The sequence below is a fragment of the Homo sapiens genome, chromosome 11, assembly GCF_000001405.40.
Source record: "Homo sapiens chromosome 11, GRCh38.p14 Primary Assembly".
Lineage (NCBI taxonomy): Eukaryota > Metazoa > Chordata > Mammalia > Primates > Hominidae > Homo > Homo sapiens.
In genome coordinates, this window is record NC_000011.10 from 117,275,759 (window position 1) to 117,303,733 (window position 27,975).

Consider the following 27,975-nt stretch of genomic DNA (forward strand, 5'->3'; position numbering starts at 1 on the left):
AACCAAGACATCCCAGGTCCAGATGGATTCACAGCCAAATTCTACCAGACATTCAAAGAACTGATACCAATCCTACTGGAACTATTCCAGAAGATCAAGAAGGAAGGAATCCTCTCTAACTCATTCTACAAAGCCAGTCTCACCCTGATACCAAAGCCAGGAAAGGACACAACAAAAAAAGAAAACTGCAGACCAGTATCCCTGATGAACATAGATGCAAAAGTCCTCAACAAAGTACTAGCAAAACCAAATTGAACAGCATATCAAAAAGATAATTCAGCACAATCGAGTGGGCTTCATCCCAGTGAGGCAAGGATGGCTCAGCATACACAAGTCAATAAATGTGATTCACCACATAAACCGAATTAAAAACCATATGATCATTTCAATAGATTTAGAAAAAGCATTTGATAAAATCCTGTATCCCTTTGTGGTAAAAAAAACCCTCAACAAATTAGGCACAGAAGGAACATACCTCAAAATAATAAAAGCCATATATGACAAACTCACAGCCACCATCATACTGAAGAGAGAAAAGCTGAAAGCATTCCCCCTCAGAACTGGAACAAGGCCGGGCACAGTGGCTCATGCTTGTAATCCCAGAGCTTTGGGAGGCCAGTTCAGGAAGATCACTTGAGTCCAGGAGTTCCAGACCAGCTTGGGCAATATAGTGGGACTCTTTCTCTCAAAAAATTAAAAAATTTGCTGGGCATGATGATACATGCTTATAGTCCTAGTTACTCAGGAATTTGAGGTGGGAGTTCAGGAGTTCAAGGTTACAGTGAGTTATGATCATGCCAGTGTACTCCAGCCTGGACAATACAGTGAAACCCTCTCTCTAAAAAAAAGAAAATAAGAAAATAATTTCTTAACCATTTTTGCTATTGTTGCATGTAGTTCCTTTTGTTAGATCCCAGTGAGGTGAATGTGGCAAAAAACCCAAAGGAAAAGATTTTTTGTTTGTGAATATGTGGAATGTTTCCATTGACATAAGAGGATTTTTCTAATATAAGTTTATATTTGTAGTTGACAATGTGTTTAATGAAAGAGATGTTCAGTGAGCATCTATAATCTTCAAGGATAACATCAGTCACAGAAGGCAACTGTCATGTTTTCTTACAATTATCCGATTGTCAGAGTGAATAGTAGGCTAGATGGATTGACTCTGTAATGTATTTCACATATTTTTATGGTAAGAGCATTCTGACTCTTCATATATTTTGTATATTTTGGAACTGAGGGAATATGTGTTGTAGCAAGAAAACACAGCTGCCTATAAAATCTTTGTCTAAAGAATTATTAGGCTGGGTATAGTGGCTCACACTTGTAATTCCAGCACTTTGGGAGGCTGAGGCTGGTGGATCACCTGAGGTCAGGAGTTCAAGACCACCCTGACCAACATGGCAAAACCCTGTTTCTACTAAAAATACAAAAATTAGCCAGATGTGGTGGTACGCATCTGTAGTCCCAGCTACTTGGGAGGCTAAGGCAGGAGAATTGCCTGAACCTGGGGGGTGGAGGTTGCAGTGAGCCGAGATCCCGCCTGTGTACCCCAGCTTGGGTGACAGCCTTAAAAAAAAATTGTTAGATAATGTGTTCTCTGCTAGGAAGTTAATTTGGGGAAGCAATACCTGGAGATTAAGGCAGAAAATGCCCACCTACTTCTCATTTCTAATAGATGAATATACCTTGTCAGTAGAGGGCTGATGTCAGAGATTGAATAAGTGTGTAACACACACACACACACACCCTCTCTACCTATACATGAAATAGAGAACCAGGGATATGTGGAGAATTGGGTCAAAAGCAAGAATATGTGAGAGGAAAGGGCCTCATAAACTTCTGTTAAGTAGATTGCTCTCTTTTGTATATGTAAGGTTACTACAAAAACAGAAGGGGAATAAAAGTTTCTCTCACTGAAGAAAAGTGGGGGCCAGGCGTGGTGGCTCACGCCTATAATCCCAGCACTTTGGGAGGCTGAGGTGGGTGGATCACCTGAGGTTAGGAGTTCGAGACCAGCCTGGCCAACATGGCAAAACCCCATCTCTACTAAAAATACAAAAAAAATTAGCTGCGCATGGTGGTGGGTGCCTGTAATCCAGCTACTCGGGAGGCTGAGGCAGGAGAATCATTTGAACCTGAGAGGTGGAGGCTGCAGTGAGCCAAGATTGTGTCACTGCACTCCAGACTGGGCAACAGATAGAGACTCCCTCTCAAAAAAAAAAAAAGAAAAGTGGGAACATTTCTCTTAAGATGTAACTCTTGGCCGGGCGCAGAGGCTCACACCTGTAATCCCAGCACTTTGGGAGGCCGAGGCGGGTGGATCACGAGGTCAGGAGATCGAGACCATCCTGGCTAACATGGTGAAACCCTGTCTCTACTAAAAATACAAAAAATTAGGTGGGTGTGGTGGCACGTGCCTGTAGTACCACCTACTCGGGAGGCTGAGGCAGGAGAATCGCTTGAACCCAGGAGGCGGAGGATGCCATGAGCCAAGATCACGCCATTGCACTCTAGCCTGGGTGACAGAGTGAGACTCTGTCTCAAAACAAAACAAAACATGTAACTCTTCCCAAGCTTTTCTTCTTATTTTATTTTTACTTTTCTAAAATGTCGGGGAGATAATTTAAGTATTTTCATCCTATTCTGTCCACTGATCTTGGTAATCCAGGCTTCCAGCTATAAAACTTTACCACAATCAAATGTAATATAAGGAAATTCCTTTGCTGGCTGTGTTGCTTAACGGCCTCTATAGTTCTGAGTAGGGTGATCACCCATCCCAGTTTTAGCACTGAAAGTCATCCATCCTGGGAAATCCCTCAGTACTGGGCAAACCAGGAGAGTTGGTCACTGTCATGCTGAGTGGGGGGAAAACATGTAAGGAGGGAGGAAACCAAAGAAAATGAGAAGTCCTGAGGTATGAAGAGAACATTTTTTTCCTTTTGAAGCATATTTACTATAGCTAGGAAAACTTGAAAATTAATAAACTTGTATCACTGTGCTTAGTAGCGAATTAGTGATTTGCTGCATTAAGGATGAATATTAAGTAGGCCTCTGGCCAGGCACAGTAGCCTGTAATCCCAGCACTGTGGGAGGCCGAGGTGGCAGGATCACTTGATCCCAGGAGTTTGAGAACAGCCTGTAGAACAAAGTGAGACCCCTGTCTCTACAAAAAATAATAAGTAAGCATCAGCCAGGCGTGCTGGCTTGTGTCCGTAGTCCCAGCAACTTGGGAGGCTAAGGCAAGAAGATTGCTTGAGCCCAGGGGGTTGAGGCTGCAGTGAACCAAGGTCATAGCACTGTACTCTGGTCTGGGCAACAGAGTAAGACCCTGTCTATAAAAAACAAACAAACAAAAAAGTGGACCCCTGTGTTTGGTCCTGCATTCATTCTTCAGGACCCATACTAAAAGACATGTTGGGAAATAAGAATGCAGAATGCCATAATGGTTTTGAATCCTCTTGAACGTAGAAGAATGTTCTGCCTTCAATGGAGGGCTTTTGTTCTAAGATGCAGTCTTTTTCCTGCTGTAGGTAACTTTATTTTAGCAAGTGGAGATACAAACTTTTTTTTTTTTTTTTTTTTTTTTTTGAGACAGAGTCTCGCTTTGTAGCCTAGGCTGGAGTGCAGTGGTGCAATCTCGGCTCACTGCAACCTGCGCCTCCCAGGTTCAAGCAATTATCTTGCCTCACCCTTCTGAGTAGCTGGGACTAGGCGACAGGCGTGCGCCATCACGCCCAGCTAATTTTTGTATTTTTAGTAGAGATGGGGTTTCACCACGCTGGCCAGACTGGTCTCAAACTCCTGATTTCAAGTGATCTGCCCATCTTGGACTTCCAAAGTGCTGGGATTACAGGCGTCAGCCACCACGCCCGGTCACAACGTTTTTACTTTCAAATATAGGGCCATTATGCAACTGCAGACCACTGTAAACATTATTTGTCTGTATCTATATTTGATACTTATACTCCAGCTCTCTTTTGATTAGCAAAGAATAAAGAAGAAAGAAAAATAAGTATAGTTAATACTTAGAGTAAGACTTCCTGTAACATACTTGGCTGACCAATTTTGGGTTGTACTTTTGCCCTGGTATCTCTCAACAAGCTTATCTTTCTTCCTTAGTCTTGTTCTTGGTTTCTTATCTTACAGAGAGGTGTGGGAAATGGAACTGGATAGACTCAAGAATCAGGATGGCGAAATAAATAGGAACATTATGGAAGAGACTGAACGGGCCTGGAAGGCAGAGGTGAGAAGAGGAGCTGATATCTTGAAAGTCTTAGTTTCAGGCTTCCAGATGGTATCTACTTTTGGCATTGTAATAGGAGAGCCAGTAAGCATTTGTTTTCACTACCTAGAGGTACCTTTGTGTATGTAAAATTAATAAAGTATTTATATGTGTGTGGCTTCCTTAGATCTTATCACTAGAGAGCCGGAAAGAGTTACTGGTACTGAAACTAGAAGAAGCAGAAAAAGAGGCAGAATTGCACCTTACTTACCTCAAGTAAGTACCTTTCCGTTCTAGAGCTTTAATTGTTTTGCAGTTTGTTTGTTTGTTTGTTTAGGTTTTTTCATTCCTAGGCCAGCTAGTCTGGCACTTATTCTATCTGCACAGGAATTGTAAGGCTATCTCTGTCTGCAGTAGCAATTGCTCAGTGGTTTTTCCTCTCACATTCTAAAGTTCTGTACTGTAACTCTTCCCTGCTACAGTTTTATAGTTTTGCATTTTTTAATGTTTTGTTTCCATTTGGATAAACACTATCTGTTAAAGCCAGACGTAATAGCATGCTCCTGTAATCCCAGCACTTTGGGAGGTCGAGGCAGGAGGATCACTTGTGCCCAGGAGGCCGAGGCTGCAGTGAGCTTTGATGGCATCACTGCACTCCAGCCTAGGTGACAGTGAGACCCTGTCTCTAAAAAATAAAAAATAACCAGCATCTGTTAACCTATAAAGCATAACAATGATCTTTGGAGATTCATTTCCTATGTAGTCATTTATTTTCTTTCTGCCATGGAACTTGGAGGACCCTTGTGGCATTTTCAGGCAGACAAGAACCCTCTCTCTGTTGTTGGTTCTCTTTCTCAATTACTTAAAAGATACTGGAGTTAAAGTGAGGCAAAGGAATTCGAATCTTGGGCTTCTCCTGCACCTGCTCCCACCTCTTCTCAACGGCAATTAGCCAGCTACTATTTTGCTTTTGCTATCTCAGAGAATTAGGAATAGGGCTTTTTTTTTTTTTTTTTTTTTAATGACAGGGTCTCCCTCTGTTGTGCAGTGGTGCCATCTTGGCTCACTGCAACCTCCATCTCCTGAGCACAAGCCATCCTCCTACCTCAGCCTGCCAAGTAGCTGGGACTATAGGCGTGAGCCACCACACCTGGCTAATTTTGCATTTTTTTAAGAGACAGGGTTTAGCCACATTGCCCAGGCTGGTCTAGAACTCCTGAGCTCAAGTGATCTGCCCGCCTTGGCCTCTTGTGCTGGGATTACAGGCGTGAGTCACTGTTCCTAGCAGGGCTTTCTTTAAATCTGTAAATTCCTGTTGGTTTCTTGAAAGGTCAACTCCCCCAACACTGGAGACAGTTCGTTCCAAACAGGAGTGGGAGACGAGACTGAATGGAGTTCGGATAATGAAAAAGAATGTTCGTGTAAGTGTATCTATGAGTCATCATTCAGTCAGTGTTAGTCTGTGCTTAACACTTCCAGCAATTGGGAGGTAGCCTTTTGCATTGCCATTTGGGGCCTATCCTACTATTCCTTTTGTTTTCCTGATAATGGATGGTGCTGTCTTTCTAGAGAGCCTGAGTCAGTTCAGCAGTAAAAATAATCCTTTTTTTTTTTAGGACCAATTTAATAGTCATATCCAGTTAGTGAGGAACGGAGCCAAGCTGAGCAGCCTTCCTCAAATCCCTACTCCCACTTTACCTCCACCCCCATCAGAGGTAAGAGAGTGGCTTTGGGGGGAAGTTCACCTTTCTGTGTTGGTAGCAGCAGCAGAGTCTTCTGCGTGTTCTTTTTATGAAGATATTGGGACCATCCCTATTCAGTGCAAGAGTTGTTCATTGATGTCTTCTCCAGTTTCCTAAACTTTCTTTTTCTTCCTTTCTCTCTCGTCCTCTACCTCTTCTCCTCTGCAGACAGACTTCATGCTTCAGGTGTTTCAACCCAGTCCCTCTCTGGCTCCTCGGATGCCCTTCTCCATTGGGCAGGTCACAATGCCCATGGTTATGCCCAGTGCAGATCCCCGCTCCTTGTCTTTCCCAATCCTGAACCCTGCCCTTTCCCAGCCCAGCCAGCCTTCCTCACCCCTTCCTGGCTCCCATGGCAGAAATAGCCCTGGCTTGGGTTCCCTTGTCAGCCCCCACGGTCCACACATGCCCCCTGCCGCCTCCATCCCACCTCCCCCAGGCTTGGGCGGTGTTAAGGCTTCTGCTGAAACTCCCCGGCCCCAACCAGTAGACAAACTGGAGAAGATCCTGGAGAAGCTGCTGACCCGGTTCCCACAGTGCAATAAGTAAGTACCTTCAAGGACTGATTCAGATGTCTCTATCAGAGAAATGCTTATGGGTTAAAACAGAGGAGGTTACATGGGTGTTCCCCGTGGGTATAGCATAGGCTTTCTCTCCCTCAACATTTTTTTTCCTCAGGGCCCAGATGACCAACATTCTTCAGCAGATCAAGACAGCACGTACCACCATGGCAGGCCTGACCATGGAGGAACTTATCCAGTTGGTTGCTGCACGACTGGCAGAACATGAGCGGGTGGCAGCAAGTACTCAGGTGAGAAAAGCCACTTGGGAGAGAACTTAGGCATGTTGAGGGCTGGGGAAGAGGTAGATTTCAGAAAAATGTGGGGTGGGAAGAAGCATTCCAGTCAGAGGTAGCTAGTCTGCTTTTTTCCTTTCCTGGACTGGGAAATAAGTGATTTTTGTGATATGCTCTGTTACTCAGACTCTCTTCCCTTACTCTGACAATGTTTCTACCTACAGCCACTTGGTCGCATCCGGGCCTTGTTCCCTGCTCCACTGGCCCAAATCAGTACCCCAATGTTCTTGCCTTCTGCCCAAGTTTCATATCCTGGAAGGTCTTCACATGTAAGACTCTTTTTCTTTGAACACTGTGATATGGAGAAGCTGGAGGTGAGGAAGGAGTGGGTTTACAGGTGGAGTGCAGGAAGAAACCATCAGTTGGGTTATTTGCAGCCCTACTGGGAAAATGCAAATATTTTAGGCAAGAATCTATATTTGGATTTTTGTTTCTTTTGATATAAATCTTTTTGCTGCATGGAATTATGGGCATAAAAGGCAAGGAGACCCAGAGGTTCCTTACCTTTTGATCATGCCGCCTCTGTTCTACAGGCTCCAGCCACCTGTAAGCTATGTCTAATGTGCCAGAAACTCGTCCAGCCCAGTGAGCTGCATCCAATGGCGTGTACCCATGTATTGCACAAGGAGGTAGGTGTTACAGACCTTCCTCATTTTCTACACTTTTTCTTCTGACAGCTAAAATAATTTTTCTTTCTCATTTTCTACTCTTTTTTTTCCCTGACAGCTAAAATAACTTTTCTTTTACTGTGTTGGTGCTCATCATTAATATCTTTTTTGTTTTGTTTTGTTTTGTTTTAGACAGAGTCTCGCTCTGTTGCCCAGGCTGGAGTGCAGTGGTGTGATCTCAGCTCACCGCAACCTCCACCTCTCAGGTTCAAGTGATTCTCCTGCCTCAGCCTCCTGAGTAGCTGGGACTACAGGCGCCTGCCAACATGCCTGGCTAATTTTTGTATTTTTAGTAGAGACAGGGTTTCACCATATTGGCCAGGCTGGTCTCGAACTCCTGACCTTGTGATCCGCCCATCTCAGCCTCCCAAAGTGTTGGGAGTACAGGCGTGAGCCACCGTGCCCAGCCTTTTTTTTGTTTTGTTTTTTGAGATAGGGTTTCTTTCTGTTGCCCAGACTGGAATGCAGTGGCACGATTATAGCTCACTATAGCCTCAATCCCCTAGGCTCAAGGTGCTTCAGTCTCTTGAGTAGCTGAGATTACAGGCACATGCCATCATGCCCAGCTAATTTTTTTTTTCTTTTTTAGTAGAGAGAAGGTCTTGTTATGTTGCCCAGGCTGGTCCCAAACTCCTGGGCTCAGGTGATCCTCCTGCCTCAGCCTCCCAAAGTGCTGGGATTACATGCGTGAGCCAGTGCACCTGGTCTCTAATGTCTAATCATAAGGTTTTCAGTAAATTGTGGCTTAAACATTAGCAGAATTCAGAATACTGCAGTTAGGATCTCTCAGCTTTTTACCCCATTCCCTTCAGGGGACTGGATAAGCAATTCATACTGCGCACTAAATAACTTTCTTGGAAAATTGACAATGAGTGATAATCCCACATATCTAACTATTGTTCAAAATGTAGCATTGTCAGAAGACTTTGCCTAGATGAGAGGAATGGAATGGAGGACCTGAGTATGAGATTAGTAACTCCATTAACAGAACAGCTTGGAGGGCTTGCCGGTTAGAGATTATCTTCACAGACTGACAAGTCATTCCTATTTTTTTATGTTGCCAGCAGAGTTAAGTCTCTTAGTAGCAGGGATGATTCCCTCTTAACAACATTTTGTTTTGTTCATTTTGCTTTTCCAAGAGGTAGAAACTGAATTTACATCTAAATTCTTGGTAAGAAAAATTCCTGAATAAGATTTGAGGGTGTCAGGTCTTAGAACAGAGATGCTCATCTCAGGCAAAATGGATCCTAAGGGGGAGCAAGCCACACTAGACATTCAACAAAAAGCAGCATCATGAACATTTTCAACAGCTCATTGTTAATGTTCCTCATAAAAAGGACAGGTTCACTTGCACTGAGGATTCTTTTAGGGTAAGAGCCATTGAATAGCCCTTCTTGGGGCCAGGCGCGGTGGCTCACACCTGTAATCCCAGCACTTTGGGAGGCTGAGGCAGGCAGATCACTTGAGGCCAGGAGTTCGAGACCAGCCTGGCCAACAAAGTGAAACCCCATCCCTACTAAAAATACAAAAATTAGCCAGGAACGGTGGTGAACGCCTGTAATCCCAGCTACTCGGGAGGCTGAGGCAGGAGAATAGCTTGAACCCAGGAAGCAGAGGTTCCAGTGAGCTGAGATCACACCACTGCACGCCAGCCTGGGCAATAGAGTGAGACTGGGTCTCAAAAAAAGAAAAAAGAACAGCAACAAAAAAAGCCCCTCTTGTACCTCAGTGTAAGAACTTTTCTGACTTAGGCCTTGTTGAACCTTATTGGCATTCTCTCCTTCCTTCCCTTTGTTTTTCCAGATAAACCTGAGGTGTGTCTTTCTTTCTTTCCAGTGTATCAAATTCTGGGCCCAGACCAACACAAATGACACTTGTCCCTTTTGTCCAACTCTTAAATGACGGACCTGACTGGGGAGGAAGAAGAAGAGAAACTGATGTGAACAGGAAGCGCGGGTTCAAGATTTCTAAAACTCTATATTTATACAGTGACATATACTCATGCCATGTACATTTTTATTATATAGGTAATGTGTGTATAGAAAGTCTGTATTCCAATGTTCGTAAATGAAACTATGTATATTATGCAGAAACAGTCTGTTCCCCCTCATCTTGCAATTCCTTTGGGGGATGCAGATTGTAGGGAAGATGATGTTTAGTTTGGCCTTGAAATTATGATATCCCTGCCCAGGGCTGTTTTCAAATACAATATAAAAACCACCTAGGAACCTGCTGTTGCTCTAAGGCCATTCTGCTTTGGTTTGGCTCAGCCTCTAGTCCATTTCCTTAAGGCTCATGTATGCAGATTTAAAGCCTGGTGCTCACCCACTGTCCAACCAGATGCCTTGCTTACCGAAAGCCTCCAGAAGCCTCAGTATTGTTTTAGCCACTCTACTCCAAATGGATAAAATGAGACTCTGATTGAGGAAAAAAAAGTAACCCTAGTAGTTTGACTTCTTATTGAATATTTTACTGTGTTAACGCTCATTATTTATACAGACATTAGGTTTACAGAATATTCTGTTTTACATCACCAAAATTCACAGTCCGAGAATAACAACATAACCAGGTCCCAATTCCTCCATGTACCCCACAAGCTTCTGTCCACCCTATTTTCTGGACAGAAATTAGCACAACCCACAGGTTTTTCCTGGGCCAAGTCTTCCTTTGCTGCCACTGTCTTGGCTTCTAATCAAGCTCTGACAGGCCAACATTGTGAAGTCCTCACCCTTTCCCATTCACTTCTGGTCTCCTAGTCTAGCTAATCCCCCTCCCCCAGAAGGTTAAGGCAGTTGGTTCACAACCAAGTTGTTTGGTGACCTTGGGTGAGCTCCAGACAGGCACTGGGGTGAGGAGATGTCTGTGCAAAATTACTTGTAGAATGATCTTGGGATGCTGGATTTTAATTTTTGAAGCAAGAAAGTTAGGGGGGGACATATTTCCTGTCCTGGGAAAAATGGAGACCAAAGTGATATTAAGAAAGTAGTTTGGATTTCAAATTTATAAATCACTTGCTCTGTGGGTAGCTATCAGGAACTAGATCATTTTCCACCTCTGCTTATTGTACTTCTTAATTTTAGGTTTTATACCTGGGAAAGCTGTGACTCTATTAGAGCTTTGAATCTTTTCCTATCCTTTTATCTTTACTCCTACAGGGAATGGCCTCAGCTCCCTTCTCTTTTAGAATTAAACAAGTAAAAACTAAGAGTTAACTTTTTAAAAAAACTGACTCCAGGGAAAGGACATTATTATATTACCAATAGCTGATTTTTTTTTCCATTCTGGGACCTAAAATGCTTACAGGTACTAGCAGTACATGTCGGATAGCAAAGACTTTTCCTTTCAGACCCAACTAAATGATCTCCTTTCTGCCTTTGATACTCTTTTCCTTCTTTGTCTTTCATCCTTGCCTATCACCTCACAGATGGATTCTTCCTCATTTCTCTTGCCTCACTTGCCCAGGTTTATTGACTAGCGTCAGTTTAAGGAGCTGGACTTCCTGGGACCTCCTTGGCATCTTGTAGGGTGATTGGAGTGGCCTGAGTACTCAGCTCTTCAGAGGTCAGGTGACCCACTTTCTTTGGTTAATGAAATGTTACTGTCTCCAGGTTAGTAGCTGTCATGAACAGGAAAGGTGGCAAAATGGAAGACCAGTTCTATTGTTCTTTTTGTTTAGGGGATTCGTTTTTTATCTTGTAATCTTAAGATTTCCTCTCCCCTCAACTTTACAGCAGCCTTAGGCCACCTGCCGTATTTTTCAGTATCCCCTGCAAATTTAGAAATTGAAAATGAGTGTAAAGCATATTGTTTCTTTTCCAAAATCCTTTGAAGCCAAAGGAGTAAAGAAAGAAAAAAGGAAGGGGTGAGGAGGGGGCTTAACTGCTTCCCAGTAAAGACCCTGGAAAGCCCACTCTTGCAGGAGGATAAGTGTTTTGGAGAGTTGTGCATGGGAGCGAGCGCCTCAGTGTTACTCTTTCTTGTTCAGGATCAGTCAGAAAGCAACACAAGTGTTGGCGACCCCTGTTCTCCCTTCTCCCTCTGTCCACTGGCCTGCAATGATAAAAGACATGCAGACCAATGGGAAAGGCCCCAAATGCAGTGAGTGGAGAATGGGACAGTCATTTTTCAGGAGCAGAATTTAAAAATACAGATGTATAATACATATTTTTACAAGCAAGAAGCTGTTGTTAAGACTTTTTTTTACACTTAGAGTTTATAATTTTGGGGCAGGAAGGAAGTAACTGTAAAAAGAAAAACAAGTGCAAGTTTTCTTTAAAAAAATAATAGGCTGATGGGACTTGCTATCGAAGGGGTTGAGTTTTATGCCCTGGAAAGGGCTGGGAAAAAGCCAGTTTTTCCCAACATGGGTAGAAATTATAAAGCAAAATGTGGCATTTTCACTTCATGGTAGCAGTTCTGAAAGTTTATTTACACAGTAAGTTCCGAGCTAGAAGTGGACAGTCTCCAGTCTTCCTGTCAGACTCTGTAGTTATGGGGTGTTCCCAGTCAGCCAAAGCAGCACCAAGTGCAGTGGGAATGAAGAGAACCCAGATAAAAAACTGACTCAGTATTCTTGTTTTATTGGTTTATGGCTTGTGGGCAGCTGGCTGAGGCCAGGAACACCAGAGGCCCTCCTTGTATTTCCCTCTCCCTTATCAGGTAATTCCACACTTAGCAGGTCCCATACCTGGAAGCAGCGGGTTGACCAGGTAGGAGTAGGATGCAGTGGGTATACTAGGAAAACCCAGCTCTTCCCACTAACACTGGTACCGTAGTTTACTATGCTAGAACTGATAGGGAGGTAATGAACTTGGTCCCCACTACCTAGCCCAAGAACCAGCCTGGGTACCCACGTACCATTAGGAGCGGGGAGGGGAAGAACAGGATAGGGGAAAAAGATGACCTTCATCAAGGAGCTCTTGTGGTGGAGGACATAAGGAAGCCCTGAGGCTGCCATCCTTTCTCCAGGCAGCCTTGATACTGAAGGCAGTAATGTTAGAGCCATAAAGCACTGTATTTCTCATACTCTTGGTATAATGCTAGTGCCACTGTGTGATGCTTTAGTCAAATAAATGGAGGGGCCATTAGAGAGGGTAGGAAGGCAATGAAACCACTCTGAATTATGTAAAGATCTTGCTACTTCTTATAGCCTAATAGGAAGAAATCCAGGCAGGGGTTATAGGGCATCAGCTGTTGAATGAATGTTCAACATTATGCTTTTAAGGATTAGATAGAAGAGGTCTCCTACCTATTCCTTTTAGCACCTTGGCTGCAAAGCTCCAGAGGAAGATTTGGGGGAAAGAGTGAGCCTATGACCAGGAAGACAGAGCCCAGCCCTGCTATAGTCCAGTTGCTCTCCCACAGGGCACCTGGAGCTTAGGGGGTTAGGATATTTCAGTGCTGCCTATCATATGTAGAATAAAGGGTGGTTCAGATAGAGACAATGAAATTAATATGGCAGAAATTCATGTGTTAAGTGGAACTTCTTAGTGGGCACTTCATTTAAGAGAGCTAAAAAAGAGCTCTTTGGCTAGATAAGCCCTTCCCATCTCACTTTTGGTCAGGCTGCAACCACAGAAAAGAAAACATTGAAAACAACACCCATCTTCTGAGATGGGATGCTATCTTGGAGATGAGGTCTAAAACTAGGACTGGTGAGTGGTTGTGTTTCTGCCTTTCCTAGCTTTGATCCCACTATTCCCTGTCTTTGTACTCCCTCTCCTTCTCCTCTTTCCAGCCGCCCCCATTTGTATAAATAGTCAATCTAGTTTTTTTTTTTAATTCAAGAGGCAATCTTTGCACCAATGTTAGGCTTGTTTATACAGTCCCTGTCTCTAAAGCAAATAGCAAACTGTGCATCCTCTCCTACTGACTTTGGCCAGCAGGGAAACAAGCTTGGTCTCTTCTCTGCCAGGGTACCACAGGGACACACGCCAAGGTAACCTGCGTGTGATGCCAGTACTTCTGAAACTAAGAAAAGAAGAATACTTTGGGTTGGAGAATTTAAAGGAATGGTGGACAAAGGTTCAGGGCTGAAGTTTCAAGCAGCAGAATTTCCCGACTTAAATTTGAGGTGACCAAGAGTATTCCCGCCAGCAGAGTGCTTCTTTCTTCTCTTTTCTGTTTCCTACAGGTACAGTCCCTGGAACCCACCTTGCCAGCCTTTTCCTTCTCCATCAAGGCAGAGGCATTTGGTGGGTGGGGAGGGTCCTGAGGTGCTCTGGCCACAGGTGCCATCTGTGTCTCCTACTTGTGACCAAAGTGAACCACGGAGGTGTGGTCCAGGGGAATCTCTATCTTCTGCCCATGGGCCTCCTCACTTCAGCAGGGAGATGTCATCAGCAAAGTCATCATGCTGCTGGCGCAGGCAGCGGAGGCAGCGCCACTGACACACCATGAGGCAGAGTGGCAGCATGAAGAGGGCGCAGATGGCAGCCATGACATAGGCTATGGTCATGAGGGTTGACTCATCTGTCTGTGGAATGTTGTAGCCACAGTCTTCCATGTCCAAGGTGACAAAAGGGCCTTCCACCGCTGCCGTCCTGAACTCATCGTGCACTGGGGAGAGGGCAAATGTGAATGGACAGCTCTCATTGTCATAGAGGAGTTAACAAAAAGAACTTCCTGATAGTGAGGCCTTGAAATTAGCCCATGCAGAAGTTATCTAATCTCCTTCCCAGGAGATATTTAGGAGCAGGCTGGGAAGCCAGCACCAGGTAGAGGCCTGTCTCCCTTCCCAAGTCACTGGGAGCAGCAGCCCTTCCTTGTATACCCAGCTGGTAGGAGTGATAACTAAAAGTCAGTAGTTCTGAGTTGACCAAAAGCCACCCCCTTGACCAAAAGCCAAATCTAGTAAACTTAACTTTCTGCTGCTGAAATCCAACTGCAAAACCCTGCCACCTTTCTGAAGTAGCATTCAGCCTCACCATGTGGCAGCTGACAGGGTCACTATAGACTCAGTCTGCTACCCTTGCATCAAGAGCTTCCCAAGGTACCCAGGTAACTCTTGCTGCTCTGGGTTTCCAACAGAGGTTACCAATCCAGGCAGTGGTCATTATGGCAGGCAGTACAAAAAAAGGACGAGCATTGACACTAGCTTTTGCACAACTGTTGACTTGGGTTTGAGGCAACTGTTACTACCCTCCCCTAAACTGACAGGGACCCAGGTATACTAACTGTTGTTTGACAAGGAAAATATGGAGAGACTGACCCCAAACCCTCAGCCCTGGCACTCTCACCATGGCAAGCGCTGACAGCAAAGCCAATTCGTTTTCGGGCCCGATCAAAGACAACGTAGAAGCCCTCCATGATAACAGCTCCCATAACAGTGCCCGTGGATGACTGTGAGATGGCAAACTTGTAACAGTCGTCTTGGGACGTGGCCACATCTTCCACTGGCCGCAGGTATTGCTAGGGGTAAGCAATCACAGGGTGAGTGTCTTCCTCACTCTCCTTCACCCCATCTCTGCCTTGTAGGCATCTATGCCCTTCCCTTTACCATCCCTGAGCTCTAACGGGTTTTCTGAGACCCCTTTACTGCTGGACACTACTCATCTGTTTTGTCTTCCAAGTTCTGGCAAGCCATACCTGCTCACTGTCTCCCAGTGTGTACTTTTAAGAGAGATCCCCCTGACTCAGGCTGGGACATACCTGCGGAAGGATGGTGATGCGGAAGGACTGGTTGGTAACCTCACCCATTAGGTAGAGTGAGATGACTGGGAAAATGTTCCAAGGGGTGGTGCCTGCTTGCCAGCACACCAGCTGCTCTCCTAGCCAGAAACCATCAGGGAACTTCTCCGTCTGTGTTGGCAAGAAGGGGATAACAATGAGGAAAAGCCTCTTTATCATCTCGCCCCTCCCATGTTCAGATACATTAACTGGGCCCTTCATTTGCTTTTCCAGTGAAATATCTAAAGTGGGGAGGGGTAAACCAACCAGAGGATTACAGGAAGAGAGAGGGAGTGTGATGTCAAACTTTTGTACCGGGGGATTGTGTGATGAGCAAAGTGACAGCCATAAAGGGGAAGAGTTTTTTTTTTTTTTTTGAAACAGTGTCTCACTCTGTTGCCCAGGCTGGAGTGCAGTGGCGCAATCATGGCTCACCGCAACCTCCACCGTCCTGAGTTAAAGTGATTCTCCTGTCTCAGCCCCCTGAGTAGCTAGGATTACAGGCGTGCGCCACCACACCCAGCTAATTTTTGTACTTTTAGTAGAGATGGGATTTCACCCTGTTGGTCAGGCTGGTCTTGAACTCCTGACCTAGTGATCTGCCCACCTTGGCCTCCCAAAGTGCTGGGATTACAGGCGTGAGCCACCACGCCTGGCTAGGGGAAGAGTGTTTTAAGAGCTCTGAGTAGAAGGGTCTAAGTGCAGACATCTTGGCTGTTGCTGAAGAATGTGACTCTCACCGCCTCCCTCTGACACTGTACCATCTCTTTTACCCCCATCCTTAGTCCACTCACGGAGGAGGCTGCCTTGATGGATTTGACTGCAGCTTCAAACACTTTCTTGGGCAAACGAAGGTTGGTGGTGCCACTGTCCACAATGCTCTTGTCATAGTTGTACTAAGAGGGAAAAGAGAGAGTTAAAAGAGTCAAAAGGTTTTTGATGCTGGGCTCTGGGCAGTAGGGGGTTACTGCTGGGGCCCCAGCTGGGTTGGCATCTTGGCTTTGGCACCTCCTAAGTGTACCTGCTTGGACAAGTTAACCTCTGTGCCTCAGTTCCTTCATCTCTAAAGTGAGGATAAAAATAGCACCTACCTCAAAGGGTTATTGTAAGGATTAAATAAATCAGCAATGTAAAGCACTTAGAATCGTGCCCAGCAGAGAGAAGGCACTTGGTAAATGTTTATTCTTGTTAATCTTGGGTGGGCAGGTAGTCTCCAAACTTGAAAATAAAAATACCTTGTTTAGTGCTTTTAACTTTTCTTTTCTTTTTTTTTTTTTTTTTTTTTTTTTTGAGATGGAGTATTAGCTCTGTCACCCAGGCTGGAGTACAGTGGCGTGATCTCGGCTCACTCTAACCTCTGCCTCCTGGATTCAAACCATTCTTTTGCCTCAGCCTCCCAAGTAGCTGGGACTACAGGTGCCTGCCACCACGCCTGGCTATTTTTAGTAGAGATGGGGTTTCACCATGTTGACCAGGCTGGTCTCGAATTTCTGACCTCAAATGATCTGCCCCCGCCTTGGCCTCCCAGAGTGCTGGGATTACAGCCACGCCCGGCCGCTTTTAACTTTTCTTAGTACATTTATATCTATTCTAATTTAACATACATAAGAATCTAGGGAAGGAAGACATAAATGATTTAGTTACCTTTTATTGAGTACTGCCAACCACAGAGATAAACACTTTACACATTATCTCTGATATTCTGAGAAAGTTGTTTTTACCTGTTTTGCAGATAAGGAAACTGAGACACAGAATAGTAACTGGCCTAAGGGTACATAGCTAGTACAAATCAGAGCTAGATTCAGATCTGGGTCTTCCTGACTCCAAAGACAAGACTCTTCATTCTATCACCCTGTCTCACAAAAGACTTGCCCAAGGCTACGAAGCAAGGCAGTGACTAGAGTCCAGACATCAGAACTAGTTCCATGTTTTTTTTTTCACTACCAGTCCCTAGGCCCCAAACCGCAGATCCTGCTGTGTGACCATTAAGCCCCTGACTGTTCTAGGCTCAACTTCCAACCCTTTCTGCAGGTCCTATTACCTCTGCCTCATCCTCCCAACATGATAACCAGAGTCTTCCTTCACATTGTACTGCCTACCCCCTTATGTTCCCAGGCTCTCCCTTGGTTTTCTTACCTCCTTGCAGTCCATTTTCAGATCCTGTCCATTGATCTCCACCCGCACAATGATCACCTCATAATACCACTCCCGCCGGATGGGTGTATACCAGAGACTGCCTGTGTACAGCGAGTGGTCGATACCTCCAATGATCTAGGGAAAAAAAGAGGCAGGTACCCGTGTCCTGGCACAGAAGGAGAGTGAGTCCCCCAAGGACCAAGCAATAAGATCAGTGATTTCTTGGGGTGGCAAGGTCTTCTACAGGCTACCCTTTTCATCTTCCTGCTTCTAAACAAATCATACCCAAAGTGATTTCTAGTTTCTTAAATGTGTTCAGGAGAAAAGACTTTCCGGGATTTTTAATTATTTGTTTCAGAATCATACAGCCCTTGATATAAAGTTATTTAAATCTAAACTGCCACAATAAATGTTGAATGAATGGTTATTTGTTTATATTATAAGTTTTATTTTCTCTGCTTATTGGAGAACCATTCACCATTGTTCTAATTAATTAATAAATAGACAAACTTCTTATATCTCTGCCTTCTGACCATCAAACTGAATAATTTTAATTCAACAGGTCTTATTTTCATTTCCTTTGAAATTTTCCTAATTGCCTTCCTTTCCAAGTTTACCATAGGTGCCTTGATTCCTTTCTGGAATAACGCAAAAAAGAAAAGAATGGAAAAATAAAGTAAGGGTAGGGAATATAAAGAGGTTCCTCCTGATTCTAAGTATCGGAGCCAAAACTGTGGTGTAGCTTTCAGGAAGGGGAGAGGATGGCACCCATCTCTCCCTCAATGCCAGGACCTCCCCTCTCTGAGGACCTACTCACCATGCTCCCTCCGACAGAGGCCAGCACTTCAGACTGGTTGAGGGGGAAGCCAGCACCACAAAGCTGCAGGGAGAAGAGGTTGGGAACGTGGGTCTGCTTTACCAGAGAGTCAAAGAAAGGCTCCAGGGAGTCGTCAGGCTTTGGCAGAAAGAGACAAGGAGTGAGTCCTCATACGGCCCTAAAGGCAGAGGCCAGCTTCCTGTCTAAACTGGAAGGCAAATTTGAAGGCTTGGGGGATGCTCCTTGGGAAAGACCATCTTAAGGCACTGAGATTTGGCAGAGGAAGGGTTAGCAGGAGCCCTGGCAATGCAAACAGGACAGTATTGATAGGTTCACAGATTCATAGATCTTTTTTTTTTTTTTGAGACAGAGTTTTGCTCTTGTTGCCCAAGCTGGAGTGCAATGTTACGATCTCGGCTCACTGCAACCTTCACCTCCTGGGTTCAAGTGATTCTCGTGCCTCAGCCTCCTGAGTAGCTGGGATTATAGGCATGCGCCAACATGCCCGGCTAATTTCTGTGTTTTCAGTAGAGATGGGGTAGATGGGGTTTCACCATGTTGGTCAGGCTGGTCTTGAACTTCTGACCTCAGGTCATCCGCTCGCCTTGGCCTCCCAAAGTGCTGGGATTACAGGTGTGAGCCACCACGCCTGGCCAGGTTCATATATCTTTGATCCCCCTATGCCTAACCTGCTTCAAATTTATGGGGGCCTTTATTAAAGATCTTAGAGTGGCTGGTCGCGGTGGTTCATGCCTGTAATCCCAGCACTTAGGAAGGCCGAGGTGAGCGGATCACCTGCGGTCAGGAGTTCGAGACCAGCCTGGCTAACATGATGAAACCCCATTTCTACTAAAAATAGAAAAAATTAGCCGGGCGTCATGGTGGGCGCCTATAATCCCAGCTACTCGGGAGGCTGAGGCAGGAAAATCGCTTGAACCGAGGAGGTGGAGGTTGCAGTGAGCCAAGATTGCACCATTGCACTCCAGCTTGGGCAACAAGAGTGAAACTCCGTCTCAAAAAAAAAAAGATCTTAAGAGTACATAGAAAGCACAGCCTATTCTTGTACCTATCACAGCTTCTGTCACTATGGTTCTGCCCTCTATAGGGCTAAAATTTAGACTGCCACCCTATACCCCTGTTAAATAATCCTTTAAACTGATTGTTGCCCTCCTTCTGCTAATTCCCCTTCTCTCTCCTAATTCCTTCTCTGTATAGTGCAGTGTGCATAGAGTGTGTAGGGCCAAGCCCTGTTCCTCTCACCCTGGCAATCTCAGCATAGGCCAGCCCCAGGATGCCTTCCCAGTTGGAGCCGTTGATGAAGAACTTGTCTGATTCAGTGATGGCAGCAATGTTGGCACGCACAGTGACGTTGGGGCCATGGGGGATGCTTACCAGGTCGGTGCCCAGCTCCCCTTCCCACTTGCCCTGGGTGTAGGGCACATACACACCCTTCCGGAGGTCCCGGTATGTGCTGGACCTGTGGAAAGAAGGCAGAGATCTGTGGATGCATAACCACAACTGGTATAAGGATCTAAGTTAAACTTACTCCCAAACACCACCTTATCTCATCTCAGGGGAATCCTAGAGTCTGCTTTCAGGCTGCTCAGCAAAACATCCCTAGACTCACCACCCAGAACAGAGTGTAAAGTGGGCTTGCAGATAGATGAAGGGAACCATTGGTGAGGCTTGCTCTCCTATCTATTGCTCATATTCCTAGATCTTGAGCTCAGGCCCTGTGAAGAACAAGCCTGGGCTTTGTGCATTGTGCCTGCTGCTGCTGCTGCTGCAGGGACAGCTAGTGGGCATCTCTTCCGCCCTCTGGCTCCGTCAAGCTCCCCGAGAAAAGGAACCATTGACTCTCTTACTGCCTTGGAACCTAGTGGTACCATCCGAGTGGTAGAGAAAGTGCCAGGCAGGGTGAATGTGGAACCTCTACAGCAAGTTCTAGAGAAGGGGTTTGTTCAAGCATCTCAGAAAAGCAGGTTGGTATTACACACCACTTCTGTGAAACGTGCTCAACATGTGGCAGCCCCACCTGTGTTTAATCACACCACTAACCAGGGCTTCTGTGTGTGGTGGGGGCAGTGATGGAACTGGAACGAGGAACTGGAGTGAATGCCCTTTCATCGATCCTACCTGCACCCTCCTCCCTGACTGCTTCTTTTAGATTGGGACATTAGAGGAAACAGGGAAGGTGCGTTTTGCAGCTGCCTACAAGTCCAAGGATAGGATTTAAGCCTCTACTCACGTTTGCACACACTGATGTCTCAGATATTGGTGTCCTCTCATCCCTTCTTCTTCCTGCTTTTATGCTAAGGGGGCTTCCAGATTACCCCTCACTGCCTCTTATCTTAAAGCCCACTTCAACCCCCCTTTCACCAGTCCCCCACTTTCACCAGTCCTCTTCAACCCCCCTTTCACCAGTAAGCTGAATCCAACTGGTGGCACCCTGGGTGGTGCATGGAGGAGATATTTCAGCTTTCAGTTCTGATACTGGTCTAGGCAGAGGGGTTTATGAAAGACCCTTTCCTTCATGTCCTTGGACTATGCAAAGCCACCTAGAGTGGCCCCTGGGTAAGAACACAGCAAGGGGAGCCGTCACTGAGGCCTGTTCAGCTTAGACTTAGCTGGTGTTAGAGAACTGAGAGACACCGAGGGGATGTGGGGTTTTCGTCTCCCCATTCAGGCAGAGAAAATGGGCCCCCTAAGATTGTTCTGTGAGCTATGGGCTCTTCTTCCTTTCCCTCCCACAGGAGGCTGCCCTGTCTCAGCACTGAAGCACTTCCTGGCTACCTCTCAATTCACCCTTTCCCATGGTATAGCTCCTCTCACCACCCACTTCACCCTGTCTCTCCTGGTCACTGTCTTTTTTTCGCCCTTCCCCTTCCCTGGCAAGAAGAAAATCTGAGGATCAACTCTTTCTCTCTGTACCCCTCCCCTGACCCTTCTTAGCCCTGGATCCTTGGAAAAGGTACTTCCCCCGGGCTCTCCCCAGGACTCACAGCTGCCTCTGGTAGTAGCGATGCAGGAAGGGGTGGGGGGCAGCACCCACTGCAAAGTTACTGCTGCCTGTATCCACCAGGATGTTGAGCTGTCAGAGAAAGGGGAGAGAAAAGACAGTATAGACAGGAGGCTTCGGTCACACCACCTTTATTATCCCTCACGCCCCAGCCACAGTCTGCCCCTTAGAATGTCCAGAGTGAAGCTCCACGATGCAGGACTGGTCCAGGCTGGCACCCGTTACCACCACGACCACAGACAGGACCTGGGGTCCTGTGGTGCTGCAGGGGCCAAAGGAACACTTCCCCTGTGCCCTCTGCAGGTCTGCTGAAAAACCAACTGAAAAAAGGCAGATTAGTAGAAGAACTAATATGCAAGGGAGTCAAAAAAATATAGGAAGTCAAAGAGATAGCCAGATGGTTGATGATTTTATACCATCTTGAGGTTACAGAAAGAATGGGAGCTTGGGCAAGGTGCAGTGGCTTACCCCTGTAATCCCAGCACTATGGGAGGCTGAGGCAGGTGGATCACCTGAGGTGAGGAGTTTGAGACCAGCCTGGCCAACAGGACGAAACTCTGTCTCTACTAAAAATACAAAAATTAGCTGGACATGGTGGCACATGCCTGTAGTCCCAGCTACTCAGGAGGCTGAGGCATGAGACTCACTTGACCCTGGGAGGTGGAGGTTGCAGTGAACTGAGACCATGCCACTGCACTCCAGCCTGGGCGACAGAGACCCTGTCTCAACAACAAAAAAAAAAGGGACTTGGACTTTGGCAAAAATAGTTATGGGAGGGATAAACGGAGGCCAGGCCAGTAAAAGTGGTCTTTTTATATGAATGAAACCTCATAGGTAACACCCCTCAGAGAAAACAGGTGATGTATGTGTCTTTCAGACCTTTAAACATGTCAGACTTTCAGTTAATCTTTCCTAGATTTGGACCAGGGAGGGCCTCAGAGAAAGCCAGGTTGCATCAATGCAGATTCTCTGCAGATGCAAATCTCCCTCAAAAGCCAGATTTGCAGGGCCACTTCTGTGTGCTGGCCCTCTGACAGCCGACTCAAAATACGTCAAAGTAGTATATTCTGGGGTAAAATATCTTGGTTTCCTTTGGCACCCTCAACATGGCCTTAGAAATGCTGTGTCTGAGGCCAGCACAGTGGCTCACAACTGTAATCCCAACACTTTGAGAGGCTAAGGCGGGTGGATCACTTGAGGTCAGGAGTTCAAGACCAGCCTGGTGAATGTAGTAAAATCCCATCTCTACTAAAAATACAAAGATTAGCCGGGTGTGGTGACGCACGCCTATAATCCCAGCTACTTGGGAGGCTGAGGCAGGAGAATCACTTGAACCCAGGAGGCGGAGGTTGCAGTGAGCCGAAATTACACCACTGCACTCCGGCCTGGACGAGAGCAACACTCCGTCTCAAAAAAAAAAAGAAAAGAAAAGAAACGCTGTGTCTGCTTCAGTCTATGGAGTCATAACATTTTGTGCGTCATCTCAGAGCTATGTGGTGTGTGTGCTGTCTCTGTTCCCATGTCTCTCTACCGTCACATCACCCCTGCTCACTGTGTACCTGACTGATTCTGTCTTCAGGGCCCCCTGCTCCTTTTCAATTCTCCCAGGAAGCAGTCTGGCTTATCCCCTCCAGCTCAGAGAAGACCTATTCTAGGAGCTGTACTGGTCAGGGGACCTGTGGGGACCAGGATGGCACATCAGTGTCCATGCGTGTGGTTCTGTCCCTGCCACCAGAATGTGGCTCCCCTTCTGTCTCACAGGTGACACAGACCTAGGAATCCTACTGTCAGAAATAGTGGGGAGCCAGGAGCCCCATAAAATGTCCTGGTGAAAACCCATCTTGTCAGGGCCCTGGATTTGGCTAAGTGAAGATGGACAGGTGTCTTGGTGTTCCCTTCTGTCCAGCTCTTTCTAGCATCACTTCTTTTTTTTGAGATGGAGTTTCGCTCTTGTTACCCAGGCTGGAGTGCAATGGCGCGATCTCGGCTCACTGCCATCTCCGCCTCCTGGGTTCAAGTGATTCTCCTGTCTCAGTCTCCTGAGTAGCTGGGATTACAAGTGTGCGCTACCACGCAGGGCTAATTTTTGTATTTTTAGTAGAGACGAGGTTTCACCACGTTGGCCAGGCTGGTCTCGAACTCCTGACCTCAGGTGATCCACCTGCCTCGGCCTCCCAAAGTGCTGAGGCGTGAGCTACCATGCCCGGCCTCTAGCATCACTTCTCCTTGGCCCTTTCTTCCTCCTTTGATGGCCTGACCCCACCTTCAGTCAGACCAGAGCCATTTTTTGAAAGTCTACTATATCCTCACAGGCAAAAAAAGGAAAGGCCCCACCCTCAGAAAAATGGTAATTTGTAAGTTGCATCTCGCCTCTTGCCGACTTTCCATCACCTCAGGTTCTCCTCTGCCCCAGGGGCCTTCATTTCTGTATCTTCTCTCCTCAGTCCAGTGAAATCAACTGACCTCAGTTTTGGTGCAGGCCCTGACCCTGTCACCTTGAGCAGATCACTGTGCTTCTCTGGACTTCAGTTTCGTCCTCTCTGCCAGATCCTCTCTGGCTCCTTCCTGCTCTCCGTGGTGCCTCTGTGGCTGTGCTGACTGTGCCCTCCCCCAGTGCCTGCTTAGACCTCCTGGCCTCCTCACATCCCCAAAGACTCCTCTGACAATCTCCCGGCCCTCAGACCTTGTCTCCTCCCTCCTTCCCAGCCCCCCACTCCTGGCCTGGTTTCCATTCCCCTCCCTGCCCCTCTTCCCCTACCTCTACCCGTGGTCTCTCTCCCCGGTCTCTGGGCAGCCACCAGCTCCAGATGCTGTGCTTTCAGAGAAAATCAATAGAGCTGGGAGGCTCAGCAGTTCAGATGAAATCAACCAGGTTAATGATTAAGAAGGCTTCTTCACCCACCCTCTCCCCACGAACCCTCTTCCCCATTCTCAGGACTCAGCTCCCAGCATGGGGGGCTGGCCTCATATTACAGGGCTCCCTGCTATCACTGGACCCCAAAGAAAGAGGATCTCCTCCACAACAAGTCTCTGTGGCCTGTGCAAGGGAGGGAACATCCGGCAAGTTCTAAGCAAATATGGCTACTGCTTTACACTGGAGTGGAGCTTTGACCTGGGGGCTCCTGCTGTCCCTGCCCCTCCCTGCCTCCCCCTTCCTCTCCTGCGAGGCAGGAGGGAGCTCTCTGCAGGGTACTCCCACCCCAGCCCTGAGGCCCTGGGCGCTCTTGCTGTCCTTCCAGCCCCAGCCTTTCCCCCTGCCACCCCAAAGGGGGCCAGGCCGAGCCCAGGAAGGAACGTCCCCCTCCACTCCCATCCCTCTCACCCACCCCAATACTACGATTTCAGGTCCCCACTGCTCTCTGCCTCCCCTCTCCACCTTACACACACACACAAAAGAAAACCAGAATAAACAGTTGGGCTTCTCTCCCGAGCAAATGTCGACCCGTCTGCCCTCTGCGGTGTGCTCCCGCCCGAGAGAAGTAATTCTGGTCCTGTCCTTCAGCGCTTCGAATGGGAGCCCTGGCCAGTCCCGGCAGCCTTTTCCCCACCCCTGCTCCATTCCAAGCGGGGGGATGGGGGGGGCTCTTAACAGGACGGGCCCGAGGCAAGGCTGAGGCACTGCTTGCTCATTATGAAACAGGGCAGTTCAGGGCGGCCTGGGCAGAGGCAGCGGTGGAGGGGCTGCAGCCGCCGAACCCCAGCAGCTGGGTTCCCCTCTCGGGTCACTGAACTGGGCCAGGGGATGAGACTGCCCTCATCTCCCACAGCCAACCACACCAACCTGCCTGCGGCTGCCCCTTCCAGGCTCCTCATGAGCTGCCACCTGTGCTGGGGAGTCAAGTCCCTCCTCCCTTCCCAGGCACCCACCTCTTCCTTGGCCCTTTTCCCTCACATAGATACAGCCACCCCACCCTGGCCCCATCTCCACCAAATCTGAATTCTTCCTGTTGACATTTACAGATGCTCATCTCTTCATTAAAACAAAAACAAAACAAAAAACTTCCTTAATCTCACATCCGCCTCCAGTCCCCTCTCTCCTCTCCCTTCACAACCAAAGCGCTCAGCCAGGCTGTCTCCATTTCTTCACCTCCCACGCATTCCTCAACCCATTCTAAAACTGGGTTTCGCCTCCATTCCTCCACTATAAAACAGCCCTTACTACAGTTACCGGTGACTTCATGTCACCAAACACTGAAGGTGTTTTTCAAGTCAGCCTTCATCTTCTCAGGTCCTGTGTTCTCTGTCTCCTTGGCAGGCTCCTTTCTCAAGGCTTGAGCTTTGGCCCTCTTCCTCTCTAACGACCCTCTCCCACTAAGCCATCTACCTAGATCCTGGTGATGTCTAAGCTCCTAACTCCAGCTTTTTCCTCTCCTTTGAGCTCCCGACGCACGCACCCAAGTGCCTCAAAGATACCTCAAGGGCTGGGTGCAGGGGCTGACACCTGTAATCCCAGCACTTTGGGAGGCCAAGGCGAGAGGATCACTTGAGGCCAGGAGTTCGAGACCAGCCTGGACAACATAGTGAGACCCCCTCCCACACACCTCCATGTCTACAAACAAAATTTTTAAAATTAGCCAGGCATGGTGATGGGCACCAGTGGTCCCTGCTACTCAGGAGGCTGAGGTGAAAGGATCGCTTGAGCCCAGGAGTTTGAGGTTGCAGTGAACCATGATTGTGCCACTGCACTCCAGCCTGGGTGACAGAACAAGACCGTCTCAAAAAAAAAAAAAAGGTCAAATTCAGGATGTCCCAAGCTGACCCAACGCAGTCCTTTCCATCTGGTGGCTGCCTTCCAGTGTTCCTTATACTAGTGGATGGCAGCATCACCCATCTGTTCTGTAGGTCAGCAGTATCAGACATATCCTAACACCTTCCTCTTCTTCACCTCTCTATCCAGTGCATCAACAAGTCCTGTCCAATTAAGCTCCTTACAAGTCTCTTGAATGTATTCATTCCTTATTTCTTTTGCTGTCCCTAGGCCAAGCTATCATCAGCTCACCCTGGAATATCACAGTAGTTTCCCAGCTGCTTTTGGCACATCTTCTCTTGACCTGTCCAATCTGTTTTGTGCACTGCAGCCAGAGTGATCTTTTCAAAGTGCAAATTTGACTGTTAACCCTCCTATGTAAACAGTTTTCCTTTGCTATTAAAAACGTAAAGCTGGCCGGGTGCGGTGGCTCACGCCTGTAATCCCAGCACTTTGGGAGGCTGAGGTGGTTGGATCACCTGAGGTCAGGAGTTCCAGACCAGCCTGGGCAACATGGTGAAACCCCATCTCTACAAAAATACAAAAATTAGCTGGGTGTGGTGGCAGGCACCTGTAATCCCAGCGACTCGGAAGGCTGAGGCAGGAGAATCGTTTGAACCTGGAAGGTGGAGATTGCAGTGAGATGAGATGGCGCCACTGCACTCCCGTCTGGGCAACAGAGCAAGATTCTGTCTCAAAAACAAAACAAAACAAAACAAAACAAAACCAACCAAAAAACCCATAAAGCTCTGCTGCCAGCCACACTGACCTCAGATATCTCAGTTCCCCACACCAGCCATGGTCCCTCTCGCAAAGGCTGTTGTATCAGCTTCACTCTGCCTGGACCATCCTCCTCTCCACTTGCAGGTTTATCTACTTATCCCCTACACATCCTGCCATCTGAGCTCAAGGGACTTCCTTAGGGAGAGAGACCAGGTTATATTTTCTTACTTAAATGCTTCCAGGCCAGGCGCGGTGGCTCACGCCTGTAATCCCAACAATTTGGGAGGCCAAGGCGGGCAGATCATTTGAAGTCAAGAGTTCAAGACCAGCCTGGCCAACATGGTGAAACTCTGTCTCTATTAAAAACACGAAAAAATGAGCCAGGCATGGTGGCGCACACCTGTAATCCCAGCTACTTGGGAGGCTGAAGCACGAGAATCACTTGAACCCAGAAGGCGGAGGTTGCAGTGAGCTGAGATCGTGCCATTGCACTCCAGCCTGGGTGACAGAGTGATACCTTGTCTCAAAATAAAATAAAATCTTCCATAGAACTTGTCACTCTGTAATTATACACTGAATCTCACCTCCCCTCATATCGAATTTAAAACTATTAAAATGTCTTTAGTGTTCTACTAAGGTATCACGGTGCCTAGCAATAATGTTTCTTGAATGAATGAATGGTTGAAGGAAAGAAAAGGTGAAAGAGCTAATCTACCCTGTTTTTTGGGTGGTGGGGGATGGAGGGATCTCTCAGTGGCTCCCAAACCATGGGTGTTTTAGGTTATAGGTGTGGCTCTAGCTTAGACCTGCCTTCCTCTCACCTGGCCCCTGGCATGACACCTGCCTGTATTTACGCAGCCTGTGATCCGGGAGTCATCGTCTTTGTCCCCTGGGGTCAGGCAGACCCAGGAGACAGATGCCCAGGGAGCTGCAGCCTGGGGTCAGAACTAGGTCAATGTCAATCATTTAACAAACAAACGTGTCCCTGGGGGCCTCAGAGGGAAGGCAGCTTCATGGGAAGTGCTAACAAGCCCCACAGGGAAAGGCACACCTGCCCAGGTTTCACTCTGCATGTTCCCCTGCAGTTCTCAGCAGTAGATCTTGGGTGATGAGGCAGGTATGGAGCTGGCAAGCTTAGGGTAAGCTCTTTGTTCCCCAAATCCCACCTTTCTTGGCCTCAGCTCTCACCAGCAGACAGCGATAGCTCAGATTCTTCTGGATGAAAAACGCCTTCAAGGGGCATCTGTTTAGTGGCCTGGAGAGATGGAGACTCTTTCCAATTCTGAACCATCTCTCATTATTAAGAATCCACACCCTTTATTGGTACTACCCCAAGGTCATAGCACTTTTGCAAAAGCCTCTGGAGTGGGGGCT

At 47.1% G+C, this 27,975-nt stretch overlaps 2 protein-coding genes and 1 non-coding gene across 11 annotated transcripts in view, besides 3 other annotated features; 2 read left to right on the forward strand and 1 right to left on the reverse strand.

Annotated features, from left to right (window-relative positions):
* RNF214 (ring finger protein 214) overlaps positions 1-10,696 on the forward strand; it is a 53,784-nt gene extending 43,088 nt beyond the window's left edge. For all 3 annotated transcript variants that reach the window (NM_207343.4, NM_001077239.2, NM_001278249.2), the window contains exons 7-15: positions 4,150-4,246; positions 4,413-4,501; positions 5,556-5,646; positions 5,842-5,940; positions 6,136-6,512; positions 6,646-6,778; positions 6,988-7,092; positions 7,357-7,452; positions 9,328-10,696. In NM_207343.4, coding sequence (NP_997226.2) covers positions 4,150-4,246; positions 4,413-4,501; positions 5,556-5,646; positions 5,842-5,940; positions 6,136-6,512; positions 6,646-6,778; positions 6,988-7,092; positions 7,357-7,452; positions 9,328-9,393 — 1,153 coding nt within the window. In that variant the 3' untranslated portion in view covers positions 9,394-10,696. The remainder of the gene's footprint in view (positions 1-4,149; positions 4,247-4,412; positions 4,502-5,555; positions 5,647-5,841; positions 5,941-6,135; positions 6,513-6,645; positions 6,779-6,987; positions 7,093-7,356; positions 7,453-9,327) is intronic.
* Positions 9,940-27,975, reverse strand: part of BACE1 (beta-secretase 1) — a 30,559-nt gene continuing 12,523 nt past the window's right edge. The window contains exons 1-9 of one of the 7 annotated variants that reach the window (NM_001411039.1): positions 23,890-23,964; positions 21,115-21,203; positions 19,373-19,589; positions 18,113-18,250; positions 17,296-17,430; positions 15,954-16,055; positions 15,142-15,291; positions 14,730-14,901; positions 9,940-14,049 (exon numbers count right to left, since the gene is read on the reverse strand). In NM_001411039.1, the coding sequence (NP_001397968.1) occupies positions 13,808-14,049; positions 14,730-14,901; positions 15,142-15,291; positions 15,954-16,055; positions 17,296-17,430; positions 18,113-18,115 (804 nt within the window). In that variant the 5' untranslated portion in view covers positions 18,116-18,250; positions 19,373-19,589; positions 21,115-21,203; positions 23,890-23,964 and the 3' untranslated portion in view covers positions 9,940-13,807. Of the gene's footprint in view, positions 14,050-14,729; positions 14,902-15,141; positions 15,292-15,953; positions 16,056-17,295; positions 17,431-18,112; positions 18,251-19,372; positions 19,590-19,739; positions 19,816-21,114; positions 21,204-23,889; positions 23,965-27,975 lie in introns of those variants that run through there. The other 6 variants (NM_138973.4, NM_138971.4, NM_138972.4 and 3 more) reach the window with 6 other exon arrangements.
* Positions 13,386-14,585: an enhancer, noted in NCBI's record as "BRD4-independent group 4 enhancer chr11:117159860-117161059 (GRCh37/hg19 assembly coordinates)". NCBI's record gives its function as "activates an origin of replication core promoter dependent on BRD2, P300/CBP, MED14 and CDK7 cofactors, and independent of BRD4, by STARR-seq in HCT116 cells {active_cell/tissue: HCT116}" and the evidence as "EXISTENCE:reporter gene assay evidence [ECO:0000049][PMID:35650434]".
* BACE1-AS (BACE1 antisense RNA) lies at positions 15,588-16,412 on the forward strand. Its single transcript, NR_037803.3, has one exon.
* Positions 23,871-24,432: an enhancer, noted in NCBI's record as "H3K27ac-H3K4me1 hESC enhancer chr11:117170345-117170906 (GRCh37/hg19 assembly coordinates)". NCBI's record gives its function as "activates a minimal SCP1, AML or CMV promoter by ChIP-STARR-seq in naive H9 embryonic stem cells {active_cell/tissue: H9 hESC(naive)}" and the evidence as "EXISTENCE:reporter gene assay evidence [ECO:0000049][PMID:30033119]".
* Positions 24,433-24,994: an enhancer, noted in NCBI's record as "H3K27ac-H3K4me1 hESC enhancer chr11:117170907-117171468 (GRCh37/hg19 assembly coordinates)". NCBI's record gives its function as "activates a minimal SCP1, AML or CMV promoter by ChIP-STARR-seq in naive H9 embryonic stem cells {active_cell/tissue: H9 hESC(naive)}" and the evidence as "EXISTENCE:reporter gene assay evidence [ECO:0000049][PMID:30033119]".